The sequence below is a fragment of the Homo sapiens genome, chromosome 10, assembly GCF_000001405.40.
Source record: "Homo sapiens chromosome 10, GRCh38.p14 Primary Assembly".
Classification (NCBI taxonomy): Eukaryota; Metazoa; Chordata; class Mammalia; order Primates; family Hominidae; genus Homo; species Homo sapiens.
The window spans coordinates 15,672,586-15,696,359 of record NC_000010.11 but is presented as its reverse complement, the minus strand read 5'-3'; the positions used below and the strand labels follow the sequence as shown (position 1 = coordinate 15,696,359).

Sequence of the window (23,774 nt, the reverse complement as noted above, 5' to 3'; positions counted from 1 at the left end):
CTTTGGTTTTCGTTTATTAGTTTTGTTAATCACCTTCTGCCACTTAGAAAACTTGACATTGTATGCAGTCACTATAAAAGCTTTTCTGAGCTTTTGCCTTTGCTTTCTCCGTAGTTTGTGATATGCTGAGAGGCTCGCTTAGGTAACTAACGGGCTCCATCCTCTCCCGGAACCACTGGTCCTTTTGCGTTCTGTGGGGTTGACAGTCCTCCCGGGGTAACCCGATGCCTTCCTTCTGCTTCAGACGACAGGCGGCCCTACCCTAAATGCGTTGTCCCATGTCAGTCAGCAGGTTTGGTTAGGAAAACAGAAAGCACATTGAGTATTACAACTAGGAAGGAATTTCACGCAGAGTCTGGCAGGCTTTCATGGACGTTGGCAAGGATAGGGTGTGAAAGTCTGGAAAGTTGCTACCTGCAGATCAAGGAATTTGGAAGTTCAGGGATCACAGGACTTGATCTCTGCTGTCCAAAGGACTAAAGAGGTGATTGTCAGGAGGATATGTGGGAGCTGCTGGAAGAACATCACATCTGTCACCGCTGATGTCCACATGCTTCCTGAGGCTGTCACCAGAAAACCATGGCTTCTCTTTCTTTCCCTGTTCTCAAATCTCTCCTGAGCCTCTCATTCATTCAGAATCCTGCTCATTAGAAAGTCTAGGAAATGTATTTTCCATACTTTCAGTCCTTGCCATAAAGAGAAGAGACTGGAAGGGCTAACACAGTGCTGAGTATTGACAGACATTACTTGGAAGTAGTTTTCACTAAAGGTCAGATCAAATTAAATCAAAAACATCCTCCATGCATCATAGTTTCATTGAGCACTAGGTTGACATAGTACTGAGCAGTGTGTCAGCTTATTTGGCATGAAAGAACCTTGCTTAGAAAAGAGAAATAAGAAATTAGGGAAAGCGCACCTTCAGAGTCAACCCATATATATCTTACTTATTTGAAATTTTATTCAATTACAATGTTAGGTTCAAAGTCAGATAATTTATTGAAATAATAAAACAGAATTTTAGAAAGGTGATTTGTTGACTTCAAAGGTCAATGAGAGGAGGACACACCAGATTAAAAACTCGTCTCAGTACATAGAGACCTGGGACAGTGCAATTCTGCTCTGTTATAATCCCTGGATTGGATATGAAATTAATGAAGCCCGTTCATTTGTACCCTTGGTCCAGAAGAAAAATATTACTGCCAAATTGCCCAGTTGACACTTGCAATCAAGTTATTACACAGTTCATCCTATAATGGCAGAAAGGATATCTTGGGAATCACACAGGCAGAATTACATAACTTTAACTAGCAAAGGAAGGTCCCGTTCAGAGCTGGCTTATTTTTTCCCCTAGAATTCATTTCCTTCCTCACTGAAGTCTGCTCTTCTGAAGTCCTTCTGCGATCTCCTTTAACTCTGTTTGAATTTTTGAGGCACTGGTCTCCTTTTCGTGGTTAGTAATTTTAAGACTACTCTAGCACTTTCTCCCTGTGTTTAATCTAAGCCACATTGACAATGTTGTGAGGTGTCATAAGTTCATTCCTGAGTGCCACAAGTCACTACTAACAACATATTATACTTTTGTGTCTGGGGGGTTCTTTTGAATTCTTGGACTTAGGTTGAATTTCTAGGTTCCTAAGAGAGAAATACATATGTCGACATATATATATATATATATATATATGTCGACAAATATAGATATAATATATATTAAAATATATTATATAAATATATTAATAAATAAAATATATTTACTATATTATATATCCATTTTATATATTTTATATATTTTATATATTATAACTCTATAATATATTAGATACATTTTTATATATTATAAATCTATAATATATTAGATACATTTTTATATATTATAGATATATTTTATATATAATAGATGTATTATAAATATAAATGTAAGATATATCATATATATGATATATTATCTGATATATGATATATTATCTGATATGTGATATATTATCATATATGATATATTATCTGATATATGATATATTATCTGATATATGATATATTATCATATATATGATATATTATCATATATATGATATATTATCTGATGTATGATATATTATCTGATGTATATGTTATCATATATATGATATATTATCATATATATGATATGTTATCATATATATGATATATTATCATATATATGATATATTATCTGATATATGATATATTATCTGATATATGATATATTATCTATATAATATAGATATATGATATATAATATATAGGTATATTATAAATATAATATAGATAGATTTTTAAAAATATGTATATATTAAAGCCATTGACCTTCATGTAGTTGTAACGCTGCAAGATCTCTGTAGTACAACATCAACATCCCAGCTTAAGGGGGGATACCTTAAGCTGGTGATACCAAGCTGTGATACCAAAACACAGACTTACGCTGTCTTCAACTATCTTAAGCTATCTGTCATTAAGAGATTTAAAAAGAAAAAAAACCTATGGACCTTCAGCTGTATTGCTACAAGATTTCTGTTTATGACTTCCCAATTTACAAAGAACTTTCACGATCACTTATCTCATGGAACCTTCGTGACTTTATGACCACCTGTGCAGGAGAAGGGGAATATATTCTCAGCCTCATTTTATAGAAGAAATCGAAACTGCAAAAGATTAAATGAATTGCCCAAGGTAACCTAGTCAGAGATGGCAAGAAATCTTCAGCTTCAAATTCTATCATCTTCCAAGCTTCCTAGACATAAATAGAAATGTCTATATTTTCCAGTTTAAGCTACAAACTGTAAGATGCTGTAATTCTTTGTTAGTCATGTGCACTTTGGGTGAGGATTTCCAGAACTTGTTTTTTAAAAACATCTGGAAACATCAAAAGCATAAGATTTTTAAGAGGGAAATTCATGATTTTCTACTAACATGTCAAAATGTAAATTTTAGGTTAAGATTGAGTATGTATAATTTATTCTTTAAACAGTCTGTAATCATAAGTAAACTCAATTGAAAGTTTAATTACATGTTTATTTTGGCCTCACTTAACAGGAATAAAAAGTTTATTTTGTAATGTATTTTTATAAAGTCAAGGAAGAAAAAATAAAATGCAAACCACAGGAAACACACAAATAAGATGCCCTTAGTACAAATGTCTTTTGAAACTCATTAGCTATTACTGATAAAGCTCTAGTTAAAACTGTGCAATTAGAACCATGTGTGAAATAGTTGAATGTGCAATCAAGAGTGAAAGAAAACATGCATGTTTTGCTTTATTTTATTTTATTTTATTTTATTTTGAGACAGAGTCTTACTTTGTTGCCCAGGCTGGAGTGCAGTGGCACAATCTCAGCTCACTGCAACCTCCACTTCCAGGTTCAACTAATTCTCATGTCTCAAACTCCTGAGTAGATGAGACTACAGATGTGCATCACTGCGCCCAGCTAATGTTTGTATTTTTAGTAGAGACACAGTTTCACCATATTGGTCAGGCTGGTCTCAAACTCCTGGCCTCAAGTGATCCACCTGCCTTGGTCTCCCAAAGTGCTGGGATTACCGGCATGAGCCACTGCACCTGGCCAAGATGCATGCTTTTTATTAAGAACTAAAGTGTGTTATAATTGGGTTGAGTTTCTACCCAGATGGCCCCACTCATGCTGACATCTGCAAAGTGTATGTACAATTGTGTTGAGGTGTTATCTACTGTGGCTGTGTAGACATGTGTTACTGAGTTAAAAACCAAGACTTTGGAGTCCCTCATGCTGATTCCTGCTAACACATGCTGGGAAGCCTCTGTTATTCAGAGTAGGCAGAATCCCATGTGTTTCACTATTGGGAAAGATTTGGAAATATTTAGAGCAGTTATAAATATATGGTCTTCAATATGAAATCAATAACTGAAGTGTAGATTCAAGGATACCAGAGTCTACACTAAGTTTGCAAAACAGTTACCTCTGAAATGCAAATCTTAAGAAAATGCTTCTTTTAAGTTGTGAAATGTCATGGTTGAATACATATTTTCATGTCATATTTATCTAATGGGAGTCATGCTCTTAGACTTAAACAAAGAGAAATCCCCCTCTATATGAAAATTGGTGCTCAAGTTTTTTTTTTAATTGACAAAAACTGTATAAGGCTGGGTACAGTGGCTCATACCTGTAATCCCAGCACTTTGGGAGGCCAAGGTGGGAAGATCGCTTGAGTTCAGGAGTTCAAGGCCAGCCTGGGCAACATAGCAAAACCTTGCCTCTACCAAGAAAAAAAAGCCCTGCATGGTGGCATGCACCCGTATTTCCAGCTACTTGAGAGGCTGAGATGGGAGGATCACTTGAGCCCAGAGAAGTCGAGGCTGCAGTGAACTGTGATCGTGCCACTGCATTCTAGCCTGGGTAACAGAGTGAGACCCTGTCTCAAAAAAAATTGTATATATTTATCGTGTACAATGTAATGTTTTGATCTATTTATACATTGGGAAATAATTAAATCAAGCTAATAAACATATTCATTACCTAGCATGGTTGCCTTTTGTGTATATGTGTGTGTATATTAAGAATGTTTAAAATCTATTCTCTTGGTCACCTCTCTGTACAATAAATCTCCATAATTTACTCATCCCAACTGAAACTTTGTACCTTTTGACAAGCATCTCTCCAATCCCTTCTGCCCTCCCCAGCCTCTGGTAACTACCATTCTACTGTTTGCTTCTATGAGCCTGACTTTTTTAGATTCCACATATAAGGGAGATCATGCAATATCGGTGGTTTTGTGTCTGGCTTGTTTCAGGCACAAAATTATTTGTGCCTTAGCATGATATCCTCAGGTTCATCCATGTTGTAGCAAATGAGAGGATTTCCTCTTTTAAGGCAAAATTGTGTTCCATCATATACACACCACATTTTCTTTATTCATCCGTTGAAGGACACCTAAGATGATCCCATATCTTGGCTCTTATGAACAGTGCTGCCATGAACATGGGGGTGCAGATATATTTTCAATATGCTGATTTCCTTTCCTTTGGATATATGCCCAGTAGTGGGATTGCTGGATCATATGGTAGCTCTATGTTTAATTTTTTGAGGAACTTCCTTTAATGTTTTTCATAACATCTGTACTAATTTATATTCCCACCAGGAGTATGCTAGGGGTCCCTTTCTTCATATCCTCCACAACACTTGTTATCTTTTGTCTTTTTGATAATAGCCCTGCTAACACGGGTCAAGTGATGTCTTACAGAGGTTTAATTTGCATATCCCTGATGATTAGGGATGTTAAGCATTTTTTCACATATACCTGTTGGCCGTTTGTATGCCTTCTTTCATAAAATATCTGTCCAGGCCCTTTGACTAATTTTTAATCAGGTGATTTGTTTTCTTGCTGTTGAGTTCCTTATGTATTTTAGATGTTAGCCCCTTATGTACGTATAGTTTGCAAATATTTTCTCCCATTCATAGGTTGCCTCTTCACTTTGTTGGTTGTTTCCTTGGCTGTGCAAAAGCTTTTTAGGGGATTGGTTGGGTAGCGTGCATTGGCTCTGGTTCTAGGTGGGTGCAGTAGTATAGTTTCTCTGAAGCTTCTTCAGCTGTGATTAACATCAGTGATGACAGCAGGATTTGTGGACACGGTGGTGGCAAAGTAAGTTGTTAGGCTTTTTGATAGCAAGAGTTTCAGAAATCTTTCTGTTTTCATTTTTCCTACAGTGAGAAGACATAGCCAAGGAGATCCCTCTTTGTGTTGGGTCCAACATGGACTGCAGGCAGCCACGGGGTGCTATGTTTCAGGCACAGGTGCTCAGAGTGGCTGTGGAACTGGGGTCCTGTTTTTGAACTACTGTAGCCCCTGTGACGAGGGCACAGGTTCACTCTTCAGGTGTGGGTAGATGCAGCTCTCCCACCAAGCCAAGGGCTGTGACTGCAGCACTCACCTGTAGCCGAGGCCCAGGAGGCAGGGATGGAGCTATGACAGTGATCCTGGGTGTGAGGGTGCAGCGCTGGCATGGCTCTGCAGAGGAAGAGGTATTTCAGAGGCTCAGGCCCTGGAAAGTAGGGCACAGCTGCAATTCAGGTTCTGGAGCCAACAGGGCATATGAGAAAAAATACCACAATGTTGACTTTGAACCCTGGAGTGCTGGACACAGCAGTGGACCAGGCTCTGTGAGGCCGGGTGCGAATGTTGGCTTCACTCCCCAGGGAGGTGGGGAGCCTCAGCAGCTCATGCAATGGAGGTCTGAGCTCCAGCACTTAAGGGAGGTGGGTGCTGCTGCCATTTGGCCCAATAGTTGGGTAGTACAGCTCAGAGAAAGCTAAGTTTCCCGGAGAGGGTGGGCAAAGCACGGGCTCGAGTGCAGAGTCACAGCTGCCCCTCTGCACCAAAGCATCAATTCCCTGGGACCAAAGCTCCCTTAAGTGCTGGAGCTCAGCCCTCCATTGTATGAGTTGGTTCTGGCGCCGAAGGGGTGCAGCTCCTCTGTGGGTTTGGATTCAGCTTTTCTGCTGGGCCCACACTCTGAGTAGCTGGCAGCAGGGCACAGTGGCAACTGGGATGGGCAGATGAAGGGCCCAGAGCGTAGGGAGCTGCAGCAGGTTGGCTGGGGATTGGTGCACGCTGTGTGTCTGTGTGAGGATAGTGAATGATGGCAGAACCTCAAGGATGGAGGGATGCAGTGGCTAGTGGCCCCCAGAGCGGGATGCACTCTAGCAGTGGCTCCTGTTTCCAGATGGCTCAGTGCAGTAGCTGCTCTGGTCACAGGAGTGGGGTACAAAGTGAGCTCCGTCTCTGGAGTTGTGCTGCTGTGTGAAATGCAGGTAGCTCCCCAGCTGGGCTCAGGGCTTGTGAGGACTGCAGAATTCTCCCGAAGCAAAGACTGCAGGTGTCCACGACAGTGATGGGGCTCAGGAGGCCTCCTGCTCATCTTTTCCTTCCTGGTTCTGAGTTCATCCTGGCTTAGGAGATGAAATGGTGGAGGCGAGAGGGTGGATCACTTCTCTCTGCGGCCATCCGGAGTTTCTATTCTCACAGGGTTTTTGCCACTCCCTTGCTGTTCTCCAGCGATCTCCTTAAGTTAGTCTGGTTGCAATGTAGTTGTCTGTTATTGTTTTGGTCCTTTTTTGTAAGGGAGCAAGTGTTAGGCCCCTCTAGTCTGCCATCTGGCTGATGCCATCTGTCCTAAGTACTTTTTAAATGCTATTGTAAATGGGGTTTTTGTATGTTGATTTTGTGTCCTGCCATTTTACTGGATTTGTTTATCATTTTCAAATAGTTTCTTGGTGAAATCTTTAGGGCATTCTATATATAAGACTATGTCATCTGCAAACAGGGACGATTTACCTTCTTTTCTGATTTGGATGTCTTTTATTTCTTTTTCTTGCCCAACTGCTCTGGTTAGGACTTAAAAGTTCTATGTTGAATGGAAGTGGGGAGAGTGAGCATTTGTTCCTGATCTTAGAGGAAAAGATTTCAACTTTTCACTGCTAAGTGTAATGTTAGCTGTGGGCTTGTGATGTATGGCTTTCACTGTGTGTAGGTACATTCCCTCTATAACTAACTTTTAAAGAGTTTTTATGTTGAAAGTAAATTGAATTTTGTCAAAGGCTTTCTCTGCATCTATTAAGATGATCATATGGTTTTTGCCCTTCATCTCATTAATGTGGGGTAGCACGTGTATTGATTTGCTATGTTGACCTATCCTTGCATTCCAGGGATAAATCCCACTTGAACATGATCAATGATACTTTTAACATGCTGTTGGATTTGAGTTGCTAGTATTTTGTTGAAGATTTTTGCACTTATGTTTATCAAGGATATTAGCCTGTAATTTTCTTTTCTTGTAATGCCCTTGTCTGGCTTTGGTATCAGGATAATGCTGGCCCTTGGATTATTTCCTTCTCTTTTATTTTTTTGAGACAGAGTCTTACTTTGTCGCCCAGGCTGGAGTGTAGCAGCACAATCTCAGTTCACTGCAACCTCCACCTCCTGGGTTCAAGTGATTTTCTCATCTCAGCCTCCCAAGTAGCTGGGACTACAGGCATAAGCCACCACGCCCAGCATTTTTTTTTTTTTTTTTTTTTGGTATTTTTTGGTAGAGACAGGGTTTCACCATGTTGCCCAGGCTGATATTGAACTTCTGTTCTCAAGTGATCGTCCCGCTTCAGCTTCCCAAAGTGCTGGAATTACAGGCATGAGCCACCATACCCAGCCTCTTTTCAATTTTTTTGGAGGAGTTTGACAAGGATTGGTATTAGTTCAAGTATTTTTAATGTACAAATTTATTATGTGTTTTAATTGGCTGCCACATTTTACAAATTATTAACTCTTCCTATCTTCTTTGACAGACAACAGAAAGATCAGAGTTAATGGAACCAAAGAACCTATCGAGTTCAAATCCAATCAGTGGTTTGGAGCAACAGTGAAAGCTCACAAAGGAAAAGTTGTGGTGAGTATGAGCCGTGGGCTTGTGCTGCTGCTTTGGAGTATGGTGTGCACTGGAATGTTTTCAAGCTCATGTTTAGGAAAGCTCTTTCCTAAAGGAACATGTTAGACTTTCAACGATAAGGCTGTTGGCATTTTAAAAGCAACTAAATGCTTAAAATTAAAGAATGTATTTTAGTGTTTAAAGCTATAGGAAATAAAGCCTGTTTTCCAGAAGAGCAGTTAAATATTTTCAAATATTTCAAAAACAACTAAGAAAAGTAAAAGCTACATCTTAAAGTGGTAAAATATTATAGTGCTTAAGACTGACTTAGGGGCTACTTAAAATCTGACCAGAAAAATGGGACTATTCCCATAAGGATGCTAAGTTAATCTGCTGTGGTTTCATTGATCCTTTTTACACCGAAAGGAAAGCTGTCTTTCATAATAATTTTTAAACGGCTAACTGCATGATTCTCTGAGTTCATTAATACTTTTTAAAGTAAAAACACTCATTCTCAAATAGATAATCTTTCAGCTTCAAAGTGCTATGACTTAATAATTCTATTATTTTATTGTTCTGAGCAATGATACATGTCTAAGTTACCGAGAAGAAAATGACTATTGAAGTAATCTGGAAGTCTTTTTTAGTTTGGGGATTTTTTCAACCTATTGGCTTTAATTTCCTTACAACAATAAAGCAATAACTTTGGCTTTTAGGATTTGTTGAAATCTACTTGAATTATGATTTAATAAGAATAAGTATCTAAAGGAAATGCCTTACTTTATTTAGTCTGTTAACCCCAAAAAGATTTTGACATAAAACAGGTAAGGTATAAAGAGTATACAGCCCTCTCCAGTTAAGAAATCCAACATTCACAATATAGTTTTTGTAGAGTTGTCTTTGCATTAATATAATTTTCACATTCCAGAATTTGTAAGAACTTTTTAAGGTGGTATATGCCTTATGGGAATTGCTGTTGAAAAATTAACTCTGTAATAACTGTTTGGGGCTTTAAAAATCTTTTGGATACTGTTTTGATTTTTTTGTGTGTCTTGAAATTTTAGCTGTAACATATAATAGTTGCATATTTATTCAATAACTGTAGAAACCCTCAAAACAATGGAAACTACAATAATACACCGTGTTCATAATAAAAAATGATTAATTTTTGGCATGCCTGCATTTTCTAAAATACGTGATGGGAAATAGGATAATACAGAGTATATTTCAAGCTAAATTTTTTGAGTGCTGAAACTTAGCAGAATGAACATTTAAATTCTTTCCTATATGGTATAATTTTATAACTGCAAAATCCTACCTCCAGAAGTATCATTTTTGTATATCCAGGTACCATGGGTATACATAGCGGGTTTGGGTCAAAGCCTAAATATGTCCCATCAGTATGTTTCACATCAATGTGAAACTGAGCAGATTGAAAGAGTAACTTTTTAGAGCTAATATCAGGCAAACACTAGAAAGAATTTTCATGGCATGAAATGCCTTTTGATGAAACAGAAGGTGAGGCCAGTTGGAGAAGATCAAGCTACACAAGTGAATGCTTCATGATGTAGACTTCCCTGTGCTTTCGCATCTGCACCTTATGCTGAATTTATGAACCAGATAACTTGGGGAACCTAGAAGAGTTAGAGAGTTTTGGGGTATTGGCCAAGACTTTACAATATATAGAGAGGCAAAACCAAACAACTGAAGTTGTAGAAGGGTAATTTATTTGAGACTAGGAGTTATCTTTACTAAAAATAGTTATACATTGGGCCAAATTACCAAGGACAGATTTGGAAGCATAGACTACTTTCAAATTGGAATCTTTTTTCACTTCTCTGGAATTAAGTGTGATACCATACTATCAAATTAGAAGGCAGGCTAGCAGCTCTGTGTTCTACGATTCTGTCTTTAGAGATGAGTATTTGGAGAATCAGGTACAATATTTACAGAAGGTTCAGGCAAGAAAAACAGAAGTCCAAACCAAGCTAATGTTTTATATGCATTTATTTCCTCTCTCATTCCTAACAAAATGTTATTTCATTTACTTGACGAGGATTTCTCGTTATTTCATTTACTTGAAGAAGATTTCCATACAGTGCTCTTGTGAGAATCTAAACTTCTAAAAAAGCAGCCAGATCATTTCATGTTTTTCTTGCTGTTGTTTCAATTTATTTTTGCCGATAATGTTTCTGATATTAGGCAAACTAATTCAGAAGCAGTTCCCTCTTTTTACCATAATGTAATTCTAAAAAGGGGTCATAGGCAATGACATAAAGTATGTCTTATTTTCTCTAAAGCAACATTCTGAAAATGAAAAGGCATGGATGAGGCATCAAATCAGTTTCTGATATGACAAATTATAAATCATAAAAGCAAATATATAACAACAAATGCATAATCATTTGGTATTGTAAAATTATGTTTCAACTTCTATCTGATAGGCATGCATTTAATTCAACATGTTATACATCTATTAATCAAGTTTTATATGCAAACCTTCATATATAAGTCCTGTGGGCAGTTAAATCAATTCCAAAAAAGGTTCCAAAGTATGAGCAAATATTTGTACAGTACGCAACATTATTTAATTTACCACTCTATATGTTAGCTGGAAATAAGCATAGGACATTTTGTTTCTAACCCTTTGGTTATTTGCCGCCTTAGAATGGAGAGGGCATTTATGAAATAATTTGGATAACTCTCCTTTCTCAAAAAGATTGTCTGAGGGCACTGGAGTTTATCTCGATAAATTTCTCCATAACAAGGAGGGCCAGAGACTTGAATTGCCTCACCTGTGGTGTTTAATGCCTTGGAAATGCTTGTAGCTCATGAACATGCTCTCTTACTGACTTTGTGATCATCCCTGATAAAATTGCTAAAACAGGCATAAGATGCTTCTACTTTCAGTTTTGCCATGAATAAAAACCATGAAGTGAAAAACCAAGCCAAAAACACTGTGAAAATGGAGAAGTGCGTCCAGATGAAAGTCATTGTTTAAAAGTCATAAGATGCGGCTTCCGTGATAAACTAGGGGGCGTCACAAAACAGAGGTTTACTAGCTTGTTTGCATCCTTTAATTTGAAAGTCATCTTTTAAAAGCAATAATTAGACACAGAAAGGAACTTGTTCTCATAAGACATCACACTGATTAATTCACTGTTTACATGATCATTTGCTTTTATGTAGGTCCAATTAAAAAGAAAAGAAATATGAGTTATTCGCTTTTAGGAATTAATTTCTGCTTGCTTCTTCGGGCAAAAAAAAAAAATTTAATTTCTATGGGGCCTAGGTGCTGTGGCTCTTCCCTATATTTCCAGCACTTGAGGAGGCTGAGACAAGAGGATCACTTAAGCCCAGGAGATTGAGACCAGTTGGAGCAACATAATAAGATTCTGTCTCTACAAAAAACAAAACAAAACAAATTAGCCAGGCATGGTGGTGTGTGCCTGTGGTCCCAGCTACTTGGGAGGCTCAGGCATGAGGATCACTTGAGCCCAGGAGGTTGCGGCTACAGTGAGCTGTGATCATGCCTCTGCACTCCAGCCTGGGTGACAGAGCAAGACCTTGTCTCCAAAAAAAAAAAACTATTGTCAGAAAACTCATTTTTTTTTGCATGTATTTAATTTTCACCAATTCTACAGTGTGTTAACATTAAAAATTAGTTTTGGAAGTTTAATTACCTCTGATGACCAAGGCACTCATTAGCATGCTAGAGGCCAATTAATTCACCCAATAATTTAACAGTTTGTTATACCAATAATTCAAATAAAACTGTAGTATGAGAAACCTACATCAAAAATGTATTTTTTTGTCTTTGATGTTTCCTAGGCCTGTGCTCCTTTATATCACTGGAGAACTCTTAAACCGACACCAGAAAAGGACCCAGTTGGCACCTGCTATGTAGCAATTCAGAACTTCAGCGCCTATGCCGAGTTCTCTCCTTGCCGGAACAGTAAGCAACTTTTATTCCTTGAAACTGACATTAGCTCAAGTGCTTTTCTATCGTAGACAGGAGTGCAGGTAGGCTCAAAACACCATTGATAACTTACAGGGTTGCAAGGAAAAAGCTTCGGGGGTAGGTAAAGATTTTTGTCAGCCTTACAGGTGTCTTGATGTGACAGCAAGTCAAAAGCGTGGAATTCTACTGATCTTCTGTGTTTTAGAACATTTCTGATTTAAGATATTTTGCAGAATTGATTGGTTCCTTATTTTAGGCCATAAGGTGTCAGTTGCTGTTCAAAATTCACGTTCCGTGTCCTAAAGAATGCTGACTGCCCACTTTATTTGTTTATTGCCAAAACGGTGTTAGCTAGCATGGTTGGACCTGGGCATATGTTCAACTTGAGATTTCTGTCTGGCTTGTGTTCTCAATGGCTGTTTCTTCTTTACCAGCTGTGTATGCAGATTGTCTGCATGATATGCCTTTCTGCTTAAGATGTTTAATCCTTTTTTTCAAAATGACTCTGTATACTTAGAGTTCAAATCTCATCTGGCAGTTCTAGGAATCTTGCAGCCAAGCAGTCTTTAAAGCAAACCTGGGAGTGTCATCTTTGGGGCATTGTGTTTTAATCACTTTATCTCTGTTGAATACCCCAGACTTGGGATAGCATAATGGATGGATGGATGGGTGGGTGGGTGGGTGGGTGGGTGGGTGGATGGGTGGATGGATGGATGGATGGATGGATGGGTGGATTCATCTACTCAGAGTCCTTTAATTAACTCCTCCAGTTTTCAGTGTGCCAGATAGATCACTAGGATTTGTTGATAAGATACCTATGGATTTTCATTCTTGTTGATAATTCACAAGACCATATTGGAGGGAAAATGTAGTAGAAAGAAGATTCTAGGACTGATTTCAGGAAATTGACTTAAAGAAAAAACACTAAATCCCAAATTAGCTTGAGCTCTAAAATGTAAATTTTCCCCCTTTTGCCTGAGTGTTTTTAAAATTTCAGGATTAATGTAGGGAAGATAATGATCAAATGCCATAAATAAATGAAGAGAAAAAATCGATTAGTGATATTAGAGGGTTAACAAAGAGGCTGCTGAGATTTAGAAGCCTAAATAACAGGCAGTAGAAATTTTTTTTTTTTTTTTTTTTTGAGACAGGGTCTCACTCTGTCACCCAGGCTGGAGTGCAATAGTGTGATGATCATGGCTCAATGTAGCCTCGACTTCCTGGGCTCAAGCAATCCTCCCACCTCAGCCTGCCAAGTAGCTGGGGCCACAGGCATGTGCCACCATGCCTAATTTTTGTATTTTTTGTAGAGAGGGGTTTCTGCCATGTTGTCCAGGCTGGTCTTGAACTCCTGTGCTCATGCGATCCATCCGCCTCAGCCTTTCAAAGTGCTGGGATTACAGTCGTGCGCCGCCACACCTGGCTTGAACATTTAACCTGATGGCTTTTAGTGAGGATTTTTAACAAGGAGAAGATTATTGCTTTCTGTTTAAAAATACTGAGGTAAATCAGACACTTCTTCAGATTACAACAAATGTCAGCTGAATGGATAGTCCATGGAATAAGGATTTTATTTTAAATAGCTTTAAAGTAGGGGTTCTTTGTAGTTCATGGGACTCAATTATTTATTCAATGCAGGATTTCTTTAAAAAGAAAAACCACACATTGAGCAGTAAACTAACTCTTCTATGTTTAGGAAATTCAGCAAAGAACAAGAGGGAAAAAGCCCCCTGTTCAAGGAACTGCCTCTAGACAGTAAACATGTAAATAAATGTGTTTATGATGCAATGTCAGGCAGTGAAAAGTGCTACAAAAAAATACAGCAAGACGAGAAAGAAGGGAGAGACCTGTGCTGGGGAAGCCAGGGGAGGAGCAGCATTTTAGACAAGACGATAGAAAGGGATTCTTCTAGCAAATGATTATTGGAGGAGAGAAGAGAGAAACTTCCCGGACTCAGGCAACAACCAACATGAGGCATAGTTTGTGTCATGTTCCATTCAAAGTGCTGTGCTCTTGGGTTTATTAAGAGGTCAGTATTGTTATGCTAAAGATAAAATCCCACAAACAATAACAAAGGATATCCAAAATATATCAGAAAATGAATGGTAGTGGAGAGATTCATTATTGAACTTTTCATCAATATTTACACCTGTCCATATCCTATACTCCATGATTTGCCCATGTTCCTGTTCTGTGATATTGACCATATGCTCATGGACAAGCTGGCTTGTTCAACAAACAGCAAATAACTGTAACTAAAGACAAGACCATCCTTCATATGCCTTTTGCCTTGATAATGTAGGTTATTCTTCCAACTGCCTTGAAGGATGATATTTATAAAACTAGTCACTCCTTGTTCTGCCTTTTTGCCAGACTACCTGTGTGGGATGTGAGGGCTCAGATCAAAATACAGCACATGAAATGCAGACTTGTAGGGGAAAAGTTTCAGAGTGAGTTTGAACCATTTTTTTAAAAAGTACACTAATGTACATTTGCATCTTAAGCTACATGGACACAGTAGCCTAACAGCTCAACAAAGACAGAATGGAGCACATGTTGAGTTGCAGAATAGCTCAATAAATTGCCATGAATTATTTCCTTTGTGGTGTATAGCCACAGTTTTCACATCCTCCTGGTCTCCCTATTCCTACGGGTACTTCTTCCTCCTCAGATCATCCAAGAAGCAGACTTCCCGTCATGGCCAAGAAGTTCACAGATCATTAACACAAAGCCAGCTTGTTCATGAGCATATGGTCAGTATCCCAGAACAGGAAACATCAGCAATATTATTTTCAAAAGAGAATTTAAAGAAGCTCCTCATGTTAATCTTATACCGCAAACCCGCTCTGCTGATATTGTTAGACATTACCTGCTCATTCATATTGATGACCTGCCTATGGCTCTCATGGTCATTCATAATTCAGGTGGAGATGGTTCATACACACACCCTTCCATTTGTTGGGTAAGACGTCAACAAATAGTAGCAAATTATCCACATGCTTCCTTGGATTCCTGAGTTCACTCTAGGACATAATTATCAAGTTCACAAATGCTCTGAAGTCCCAGGAAGAAAGAGTCCTTCAGCTCTCATAAATTATGATTCAACAAGGAAAAAAAAAAAGACTTTGCAATGGAAAGAACCTCACACTCTATTATAATTGCCACTTACAATAAACATTTGGAGCTGATTATTTTCTCAGTGTATTTTGTAAAAAAAAAAAAAATGAATGTTTTCTCTTAATTTTTTTCAGCCTGCTGTTTTAAAGCAATACTTTCAAAGAATGGTCATGTTTCTTCCCTTTCGAATAATTTACAATCATAAAAATAAAAAGTCAGGGTTGAATTTAAAAGGGATTTTTAAAAGGCTTGTGCATGGAAAAATAAATATAAAAACACATATGAACACATATATGTTCAGAGTAATATCTCATGCATTCATATATACTTCTGGATGCATATAAATATTTACACATATGAGCTTCTAGAAAATTGATACTTAGATATTCCAGATTATAGAGATGAGCTTTTAGGGAACTTTATAGGATTCATGACCATAAATCATGAAATATAGCGGTAAAATAAGGAACAAATTTTGTTAAAATACAGTGCATGAGGTTAAAAAGTGTTTTTAAAAATAAAGGACTCGGGAGGCTGAGGCAGGAGAATGGCGTGAACCCGGGAGGCGGAGCTTGTAGTGAGCTGAGATCGCGCCACTGCACTCCAGCCTGGGCAACAGAGGGAGACTCCATCTCAAAAAAAAAAAAAAAAAAAAAAAAAAAAAGGAGCATCTGGAAAAAATTGATGGTGACAGCGCTAAAACTAGCTAACTAATGACCAAAGGAAAGAAAAAACCGGAAGACATTCTAAGGGAAGCCGGAAAGGCCAGGTCCATTTCAAAAAGCTTCTGAACAGGCGCATGCCCAGTCATCAATATTTCCTGTGATGACATGTATTTCCTTTCCTGTTCTCTTATTTCAGTTTCCATTGAGGAATATCCTTGATAAGAAAGAAATAATTATTTACATGTCCAAATCTAACTATGCAGGATTGAGATTCCCTCTACTTAATTCACTACATTTTGGCTATTTTAGGCATGTTAGAAGTTGTAGAAACTCTTTTAAAGTACAAGTTACAAGTAGTAAATTCCTGGTCCTAATGCCCTACAGACTTTTGATAACAATAGCCTTGAAATCAACGTGTTGGCCTGCCTATAGCTTACAACTGTACCATGAGATCCTATTGGACAATGAGTTAGTGAATCATATTGGATAGAAAGCAAGATAAGCCACTACTAGAATTTTCTCTTTTGTGAACACTAGCATTGCAATGTCCAGTGAGACTGTGACCAGAAATGCAATTTCCCAATTTACCTAGCCTATTATAATAGGATAATTTGTTTTTATTATTATTTTGTTTGAGTTGGAGTCTTGCTCTGTCACCCAGGCTGGAGTGCAGTGGCATGATCTCGGCTCACTGCAACCTCCGCCTCCTGGGTTCAAGAGATTCTCCTGCCTCAGCCTCTCAAGTAGCTGGGCCTGCAGGCATGCACCACCATGCCCAGCTAATTTTTGTGGTTTTAGTGGAGATGGGGTTCACCATGTTGGCCAGGATGGTCTCAATCTCTTGACCTCATGATCTGCGCACCTTGGCCTCCCAAAGTGCTGGGATTACAGGCATGAGCCACCACAACTGGCCATAATAGGATAATTTAAAATTAAGTTCCTCTTAAAGAGCGTAACAGTGGAAATGCTTATTGGTGGCCCAGAAGATGACATCTACAAAGGTCATCTTGCACTGCCCCTTCTTCCTCAAGGTGTCAACTTTTGGGAATGACAGACCTATCTGCCTTCACACAGCACGAGGGGGCAAAAGAGAGACACGTTATTGCCTCATGGGAAATTTGGAATATAGTCAAAGATAGAGATTTTATTTCTTCAAATGAAAGTGAGTCATAAAACCCAATAGAGTAGCCAAAAGGGATGTTATTCCTGTTGATCTTACTAGAGAATCACAACGCTATTTGGTGTAAGAAAACAGACAGAAATATGTTTAATAAATTACTTGAACAACATTTTAAAAATAAACATAAAACACATATTGATCATTTTTAATTTAGAAGGTTCTAGAGAAAATAACATAATATCCTGAATTGGTTATTAAAAAATATTTCAGGAATGATAACGTTATAACATTTATGTATTTTGATCGTTCTAGGCAATGCTGATCCGGAAGGCCAGGGTTACTGCCAAGCAGGATTTAGTCTGGATTTTTATAAGGTGAATTATTTTGGTCTCGCAGTTCCTAATATTTAATCTGATTTTTTTTTACCCTCTGCCTCTCACTCCCACACCCCAAAACCACCACCACCACCAAAGAACCAAAGAATCTTGAGGAACATACCTAGCCTGTTTGGGCAAATGCTTTCTAAAAAAATTTTTCCATTCACTTTTTATTTTTATGTAAATAATTTATGCACATAGCGGCCTATTAAATAGTAGAGAAATAGACATGATAAAAAGCAACAGCCTTTCTTCTGATCCTTTGTGGCAATAATTTTTTAAATGAAAATCTAAAAAACTCAGTAATGTTTCTTAAAAAGATCACATGAATCTATTCATTGTTTTGTTAACTGTAATTGACCAGTTACATTTAATATTAATATTAAAATTCATATATCCTTTCAAAAAATTAAAAAGAGATGTTCAGTAAGAATGTAGAGGGAAAAGATTCTGTGGTTTTGAAAATAGTATAGAAAAATTTCATCAACGTATAAACTGTTTACTGTCTTTTATCATTCTTTTTATCATTACTTTTTTGTTTTTATATTTTCCACTGAGAGTTAAAGATATGAGGCACGAAAGGTGAGGATGTCAATTCATGAGAAAATGTTTATATTTGCTAGTCTGGAGTGTTTGCTCTTTCTCCTGAGAAGGGGGTGGCACTGGGGATGTATGGAAAAAAATAGGCATTACTATGTCCTTGAAATAAATTGGAACAGAATTTTATTTCTATCACGAAGGCTCAAAAGACCATGTCTGCAAAACTGCACAGCACTAAACATGTTGATATTTTGCTTATGAGGCAGTGCCAAAAAACAGAATTTATCTCTCTCAAGGGAGAGAGTTCAACTTACCTAATTGAGTCAAATTAAAATTATTTAATATGATAACACACTAAATAATTGAAAACAAAAGAGGAAAGAAAATGAACTGCAGGCCTCCGAAGGATCTCTTTTAAAAATTGCTTTTTATGTGTAACAAATTGTTAGAGCAATGCTTATTAACAACAATTTATCACCCTTTAAAAATGTTTAGTATTTCTTTTCCAATTATGGTTGCTGTTGCTGTTTCTGTTTTGTAGAATGGAGACCTTATTGTGGGAGGACCTGGGAGTTTCTACTGGCAAGGTATGTTCTGTTGGCAGACAAGAAAAGCACATTTGTTGTTACTAACAGAAGGATGGACCCAGAAGTAGTGTTAAATGTTTACTTTCTATTACCTTAATTTTATATCCTTATTCATAGTTTCTCAAATGAAGCGTTATTTCTTTTTTTTGCTTTTAATATTTTATTTTAATTGACAAAACAATTGTACATATTTATGGGGTACATGTGATATTTTCATACATGCTTATGATGTGTAATGATCAAATCAGGGTAATTAGCATAACCATCACCTCAAACATTGATCATTTGTGTTGGGAACATTTTAAATCTCTTCTAGCTATTTAAAAATATGAGATAAATTGTTGTTAACTATATTCACCTTATAGTGCTATAGAATGTTAGAACTTATTCCTCCTACCAGGCTGTACTTTTGTGTACATTAACCCATCTCTGGCTATACCTGAATCTCTATTCATCCTTGCCTCTAGTAACCACTTTTCCACTCTCTACTTCGATGAGATCAACTTTTTTAGCTTCCATGTATGAGTGAGAACAAAAGCATCATTTCGATTTGTACTCTCATTTGTTTTCTGTTTTTTTTCTGAGACAGAGTTTCACTCTTGTTGCCCAGGCTGGAGTGCAATAGCACAATCTCGACCCACTGCAACCTCCACCTCCTAGGTTCAAGCAATTCTCCTGCCTCAGCTTCCTGAGTAGCTGGTAATACAAGTTCCCACCACCATGCCCAGCTAATTTTTGTATTTTTAGTAGAGACGGGGTTTCACCATGTTGGCCAGGCTGGTCTCAAACTCTTGACCTCTGGTGATCCACCCGCCTCAGCCTCCCAAAATGCTAGGATTACAGGCCTAAGCCACTGCCCAGCCTGTACTCTGTAATGTAAATAATATTTTAAAATACTCTTGCAACTTAACAATTCATTTCTCCATCAACAATGTGTTGAGGCTCTGCCAAGCTCTGTGGTAGAGGCTGGGGACACATTAATGAGTAAAAACAGACATTGTTCTTACTGTCATGGAGGTTAGTATCTAGAGAATGATAACAGGCATTAATCGAACTGTCACAGGGGTACCCAAGAAACCCCAACTGTGATACACAATCCGAAGCAAAGGCATGTGGTGATGGGGCTGGGAGAAATTAGGAGGCTTCTCCTGGGTGGCTGTGGACAGGTGTGTTTTGTCCTCTGACCACTGGCTGACAGGGAGCTGGAATACAACCTGTGCTCTGCTTATGGAGCCATGAACCCAGGTACAGACAGCATCTGCTGAGAGGAAATTACGTCTTCTAATTCTTGCTAAGGTGCTGCATAGGCCAGCAGCAACGCAAAGTTAACTTGGAAAGCAAACAACCCTGAACTGAGATCTGGACCTTACGTAGGAGTACCTAGGTGAAGAGAAGAGGGACCACGTGCAGATGTACTGTGGGAGGCAGGAGGGCAGCGTAGGTGAGAATGGAGGAAAGTCAAGGTGACCGGAGTTAAGAGAGTGAGGGAAGAAGAGCTTGGGTGGTATGGAGTGGCCCGCTAATTTCACAAAAGAATGGATGATGTGAAATTAACATTATTATGTTAATAAAAAATTTATCATAAATTTTCATGATATTTTTACCATAAATTATGTTAATTTCACATCATCCATTCTTTTGGTTGAAAAAACGTAGGATACAAATGATTTGCTGAAAATTTACCATAGCAATGGCATATACAAGCATTTGTCTGAGACATAGAAATTTAAAATTTTATTCAGGTTTCACATTGAAGGCTTGCAGTCCATGCTAAGCAGTTTTGTCTTTATTCTACAAACTATGGAAAACCACTGGGGGATTTTAAGAGTTTAAATAGATGGCTTTAGCTAGAGTAAGAAGATGTTGTTTGTCCTGAGTGTAGTGACAAACTATGAAGTGAGTTTAAGCATGGAGTGCTACAATCAAATTATGTTTTGAAAGGATCATTCTGGCTGCGTTACAGAAAATAGATTGAAAGTTGGCCAAGGTGAAATATCAGCAAAGTAGTTACAAGGTTGTTACAAGGATATAAACTAATTTTAAGTTTATAAGGTAAACAAGTTGTATAAGTTTCAGGTAAAGTTGTCTGTTTCTTAGAGCGATGGTGGTACTGACTGTAAAAGAAGAGAAATTTGAGAAATACTTTGGAGGCAAAATAAGCAGCCTAAATGATGGGTTGGATATATGCTGGTAAGGGAAGAAAGGTGGTAAGGGAGTGTTTCTGACGCCTGCTACTGAATGGCTGTAGGTGGGTGCCGCTCACTGAGATACAGAACACTGGAAGAGGACCAGTTTAGAGTGGCCTGGAGAGGGAAGATGATGAGTTTACTTCTTGTTCTGTTGTGTATGAAAATATTTGAGATACCCAAAGGGTTTCACCTAAGTATTTAGGGCTTAAGCCCAGAGACCATCTAGAGTGAAATATAAATTTTCATCACTTCATACTGGTGATAACTCAGTCCATGGGTATAGATGGGAGGCCTAGAGAGAGAATACTGAGAAGATTCTATAATTTGGGCTATAAAGTTTAGGACAGAGTAGAATCTGAGATTAAGAGTTGAGGGAGGAATTTTTTTAATGGAAGAAACTTGATCATGTTTAAAAGTCATTGAGAAAGATCCAGGAGAGATAGATTTATGATTTTTTTTTTTTTGAGACGAGTCTCATTTTGTTGCCCAGGTTGGAGTACAGTAGTGTGATCTTGGCTCACTGCAACCTCTGCCTCCCAGGTTTAAGTGATTCTCCTGCCTCTGCCTCCTGAGTAGCTGGGACTAAAGTTGCATGCCACCACACCTGGCTAATTTTTGTATTTTTAGTAGACAGGGTTTCACAATGTTGGTCAGACTGGTCTCAAACTCCTGATCCTGGTCTCAAACTCATGATCCGCCCGCCTCAGCCTCCCAGAGTTCTGGGATTACAGGCATGAGCCACCACACCCAGCTGATTTATGATAAAATTGTATATAAACTTAATGTTAAGCTCAGTTCATGCATATACAATTATAAACATCAAACAATTAACATTTTGGTATTTAAAAACTACTCTGCAAACTGAAAAACTATATATTTTGCACAACAGATGGCTACAAAATTAAAATTATATTTACGGAAGGTTTTCTTCTAATTCACTTGGTTAATTTCACATAATCCATTCTTCTCCTTAAACTGAAAAAATGTCTGAGACAAATGATTTGCTAAAAATTTGCCATAGCAATGGCATATAGAAACATATGTTTGAGACATAGAATTTAAAATTTTATTCAGGTTTAAGATGATAATGTGTATATGTGTATAGACATAGCTAAAGGAAACAGCAAAGACAGTGTGTATGTGGGATGGAGGAAAGAGGGTATTTAGCTGTAACCCAGAGACAACTGGCAAATTCTACAGACAGTGTTCAGAAACTCATGTGTAAATACCATGGTCTTAATATCAGAATAGTCATTTCAAGTCCCAGTCACTTGGCAATATTTATGATCTAGTTTGACAGTTTCATTCTTTTGTGGACTTCCAACAGAAAGACTGTGGGAATTTTGTGTGAATTCCCAAAGACTAATTTGGCTTTCAAATTAATGTTAAATGATAGTCTTTTGAACGCATTTCTTCAGTTTTCTGCCAAAGAGCATGATATCACACTTTTGCCTTAGATGTCCATGGTAAACATGGGAATGCATAGAAATTGCAGCGGAAATTGCTGGTTGTCTTTTAGATACTTGTCTACCCCAAGGCAATCGTATTTCAAGACTTCTGACAGTGACTTTTGAGAGAGATTAACCAAAGTTCTTATCACGTCAATGTTGGTGCCCATGGATTTCTCTTTTGCTGAATTTTGGATCTCATTGGACCTAGCTGCTTCCCATTGTCCTAATTTTATGCTCTCTCTATATTTTAGCAAGAAAAGCAGATGGCTCAAAGAGTTTACAATTCCTTCATTTAACTTAGCTGATATATTTTATCATCTATTAATCAGATATGTGATTTAGATTGAATACAGTATCTATGCTTTGCAAGAGCACAAAATGTTTTATTAGAATACCAAAGGAAATGTTGGCTGTAATGCCTGATATCCTATTAGCAAAACCATATGACCTTAGAGAATGCACTGTAGCTCTTTGGGCTTCAGTTTCTCCACCTAGAAGAAGCTATATTTGACCAAATGATCTCAAAGCTTCCTTCCAGGTGGAATATTCCAGAATAAAAATTACATCATGGCCGGGCGCTGTGGCTCACACCTGTAATCCCAGCACTTTGGGAGGCCGAGGCAAGCAGATCACGAAGTCAGGAATTTGAGACCGCCCTTGCCAACATAGTGAAACTGCGTCTCTACTACAAACACAAAAAATTAGCCAGGCGTGGTGGTAGGTGCCTGCAGACCCAGCTACTTGGGAGGCTGAAGCAGGAGAATCACTTGAACCCGGGAGACAGAGGTTGCAGTGAGCTGAGACTGCACCATTGCACTCCAGCCCAGGCAATAGTGCGAGACTCTGTCCCAAAAAACAAAAACAAACAAACAAACAAACAAACAAAAATTACATCACATAAATTTTACTTGCAAATTTGGCCTCCACTCTTGGATACTTTTATCATTTGGAGGTGGAGTGTGTATGTTAAAAGCAGCAGGAAGACCAATAAAATATTGTAGTTCATCTCAGGTCTTCTGTCAGAATGGAAAGTTCTACCCAGCTGTAACTAACTCTGCCTTGGAGTTTGAGCGGCAGGCGGGAAAATTCATCATCAAAAAAGCAAGCAATTCCACCATAGCTTTCAAGGGAATGTGGGTCTGCTCATGGAGGGCCTGCCTCTTGCTTTCATTCAGTTAACGTATTAATTTGTTTAAACACAGGACAAGTGATCACTGCCAGTGTTGCAGATATCATTGCAAATTACTCATTCAAGGATATCCTCAGGAAACTGGCAGGAGAAAAGCAGACGGAAGTGGCTCCAGCTTCCTATGATGACAGTTACCTTGGTAAGACCCATTGCCCAAGACATTTGTGGTTTTTCAAA

At 38.1% G+C, this 23,774-nt stretch overlaps 1 protein-coding gene across 3 annotated transcripts in view, besides 2 other annotated features; it reads left to right on the top strand.

The window, feature by feature from the left end:
• ITGA8 (integrin subunit alpha 8) overlaps nucleotides 1-23,774 on the top strand; it is a 205,969-nt gene that overhangs the window by 23,563 nt on the left and 158,632 nt on the right. For all 3 annotated transcript variants that reach the window (NM_001291494.2, NM_003638.3, XM_011519752.3), the window contains exons 3-7: nucleotides 8,322-8,422; nucleotides 12,233-12,356; nucleotides 17,577-17,638; nucleotides 18,723-18,768; nucleotides 23,611-23,736. In NM_001291494.2, the coding sequence (NP_001278423.1) occupies nucleotides 8,322-8,422; nucleotides 12,233-12,356; nucleotides 17,577-17,638; nucleotides 18,723-18,768; nucleotides 23,611-23,736 (459 nt within the window). The remainder of the gene's footprint in view (nucleotides 1-8,321; nucleotides 8,423-12,232; nucleotides 12,357-17,576; nucleotides 17,639-18,722; nucleotides 18,769-23,610; nucleotides 23,737-23,774) is intronic.
• Nucleotides 6,551-7,052: an enhancer, noted in NCBI's record as "H3K4me1 hESC enhancer chr10:15731307-15731808 (GRCh37/hg19 assembly coordinates)". NCBI's record gives its function as "activates a minimal SCP1, AML or CMV promoter by ChIP-STARR-seq in primed H9 embryonic stem cells {active_cell/tissue: H9 hESC(primed)}" and the evidence as "EXISTENCE:reporter gene assay evidence [ECO:0000049][PMID:30033119]".
• Nucleotides 16,156-16,450: an enhancer, noted in NCBI's record as "tiled reigon #7083; HepG2 Activating non-DNase unmatched - State 24:Quies, and K562 Activating non-DNase unmatched - State 24:Quies". NCBI's record gives its function as "activates a minimal TATA promoter and a strong SV40 promoter by Sharpr-MPRA in HepG2 and K562 cells {active_cell/tissue: HepG2 | K562}" and the evidence as "EXISTENCE:reporter gene assay evidence [ECO:0000049][PMID:27701403]".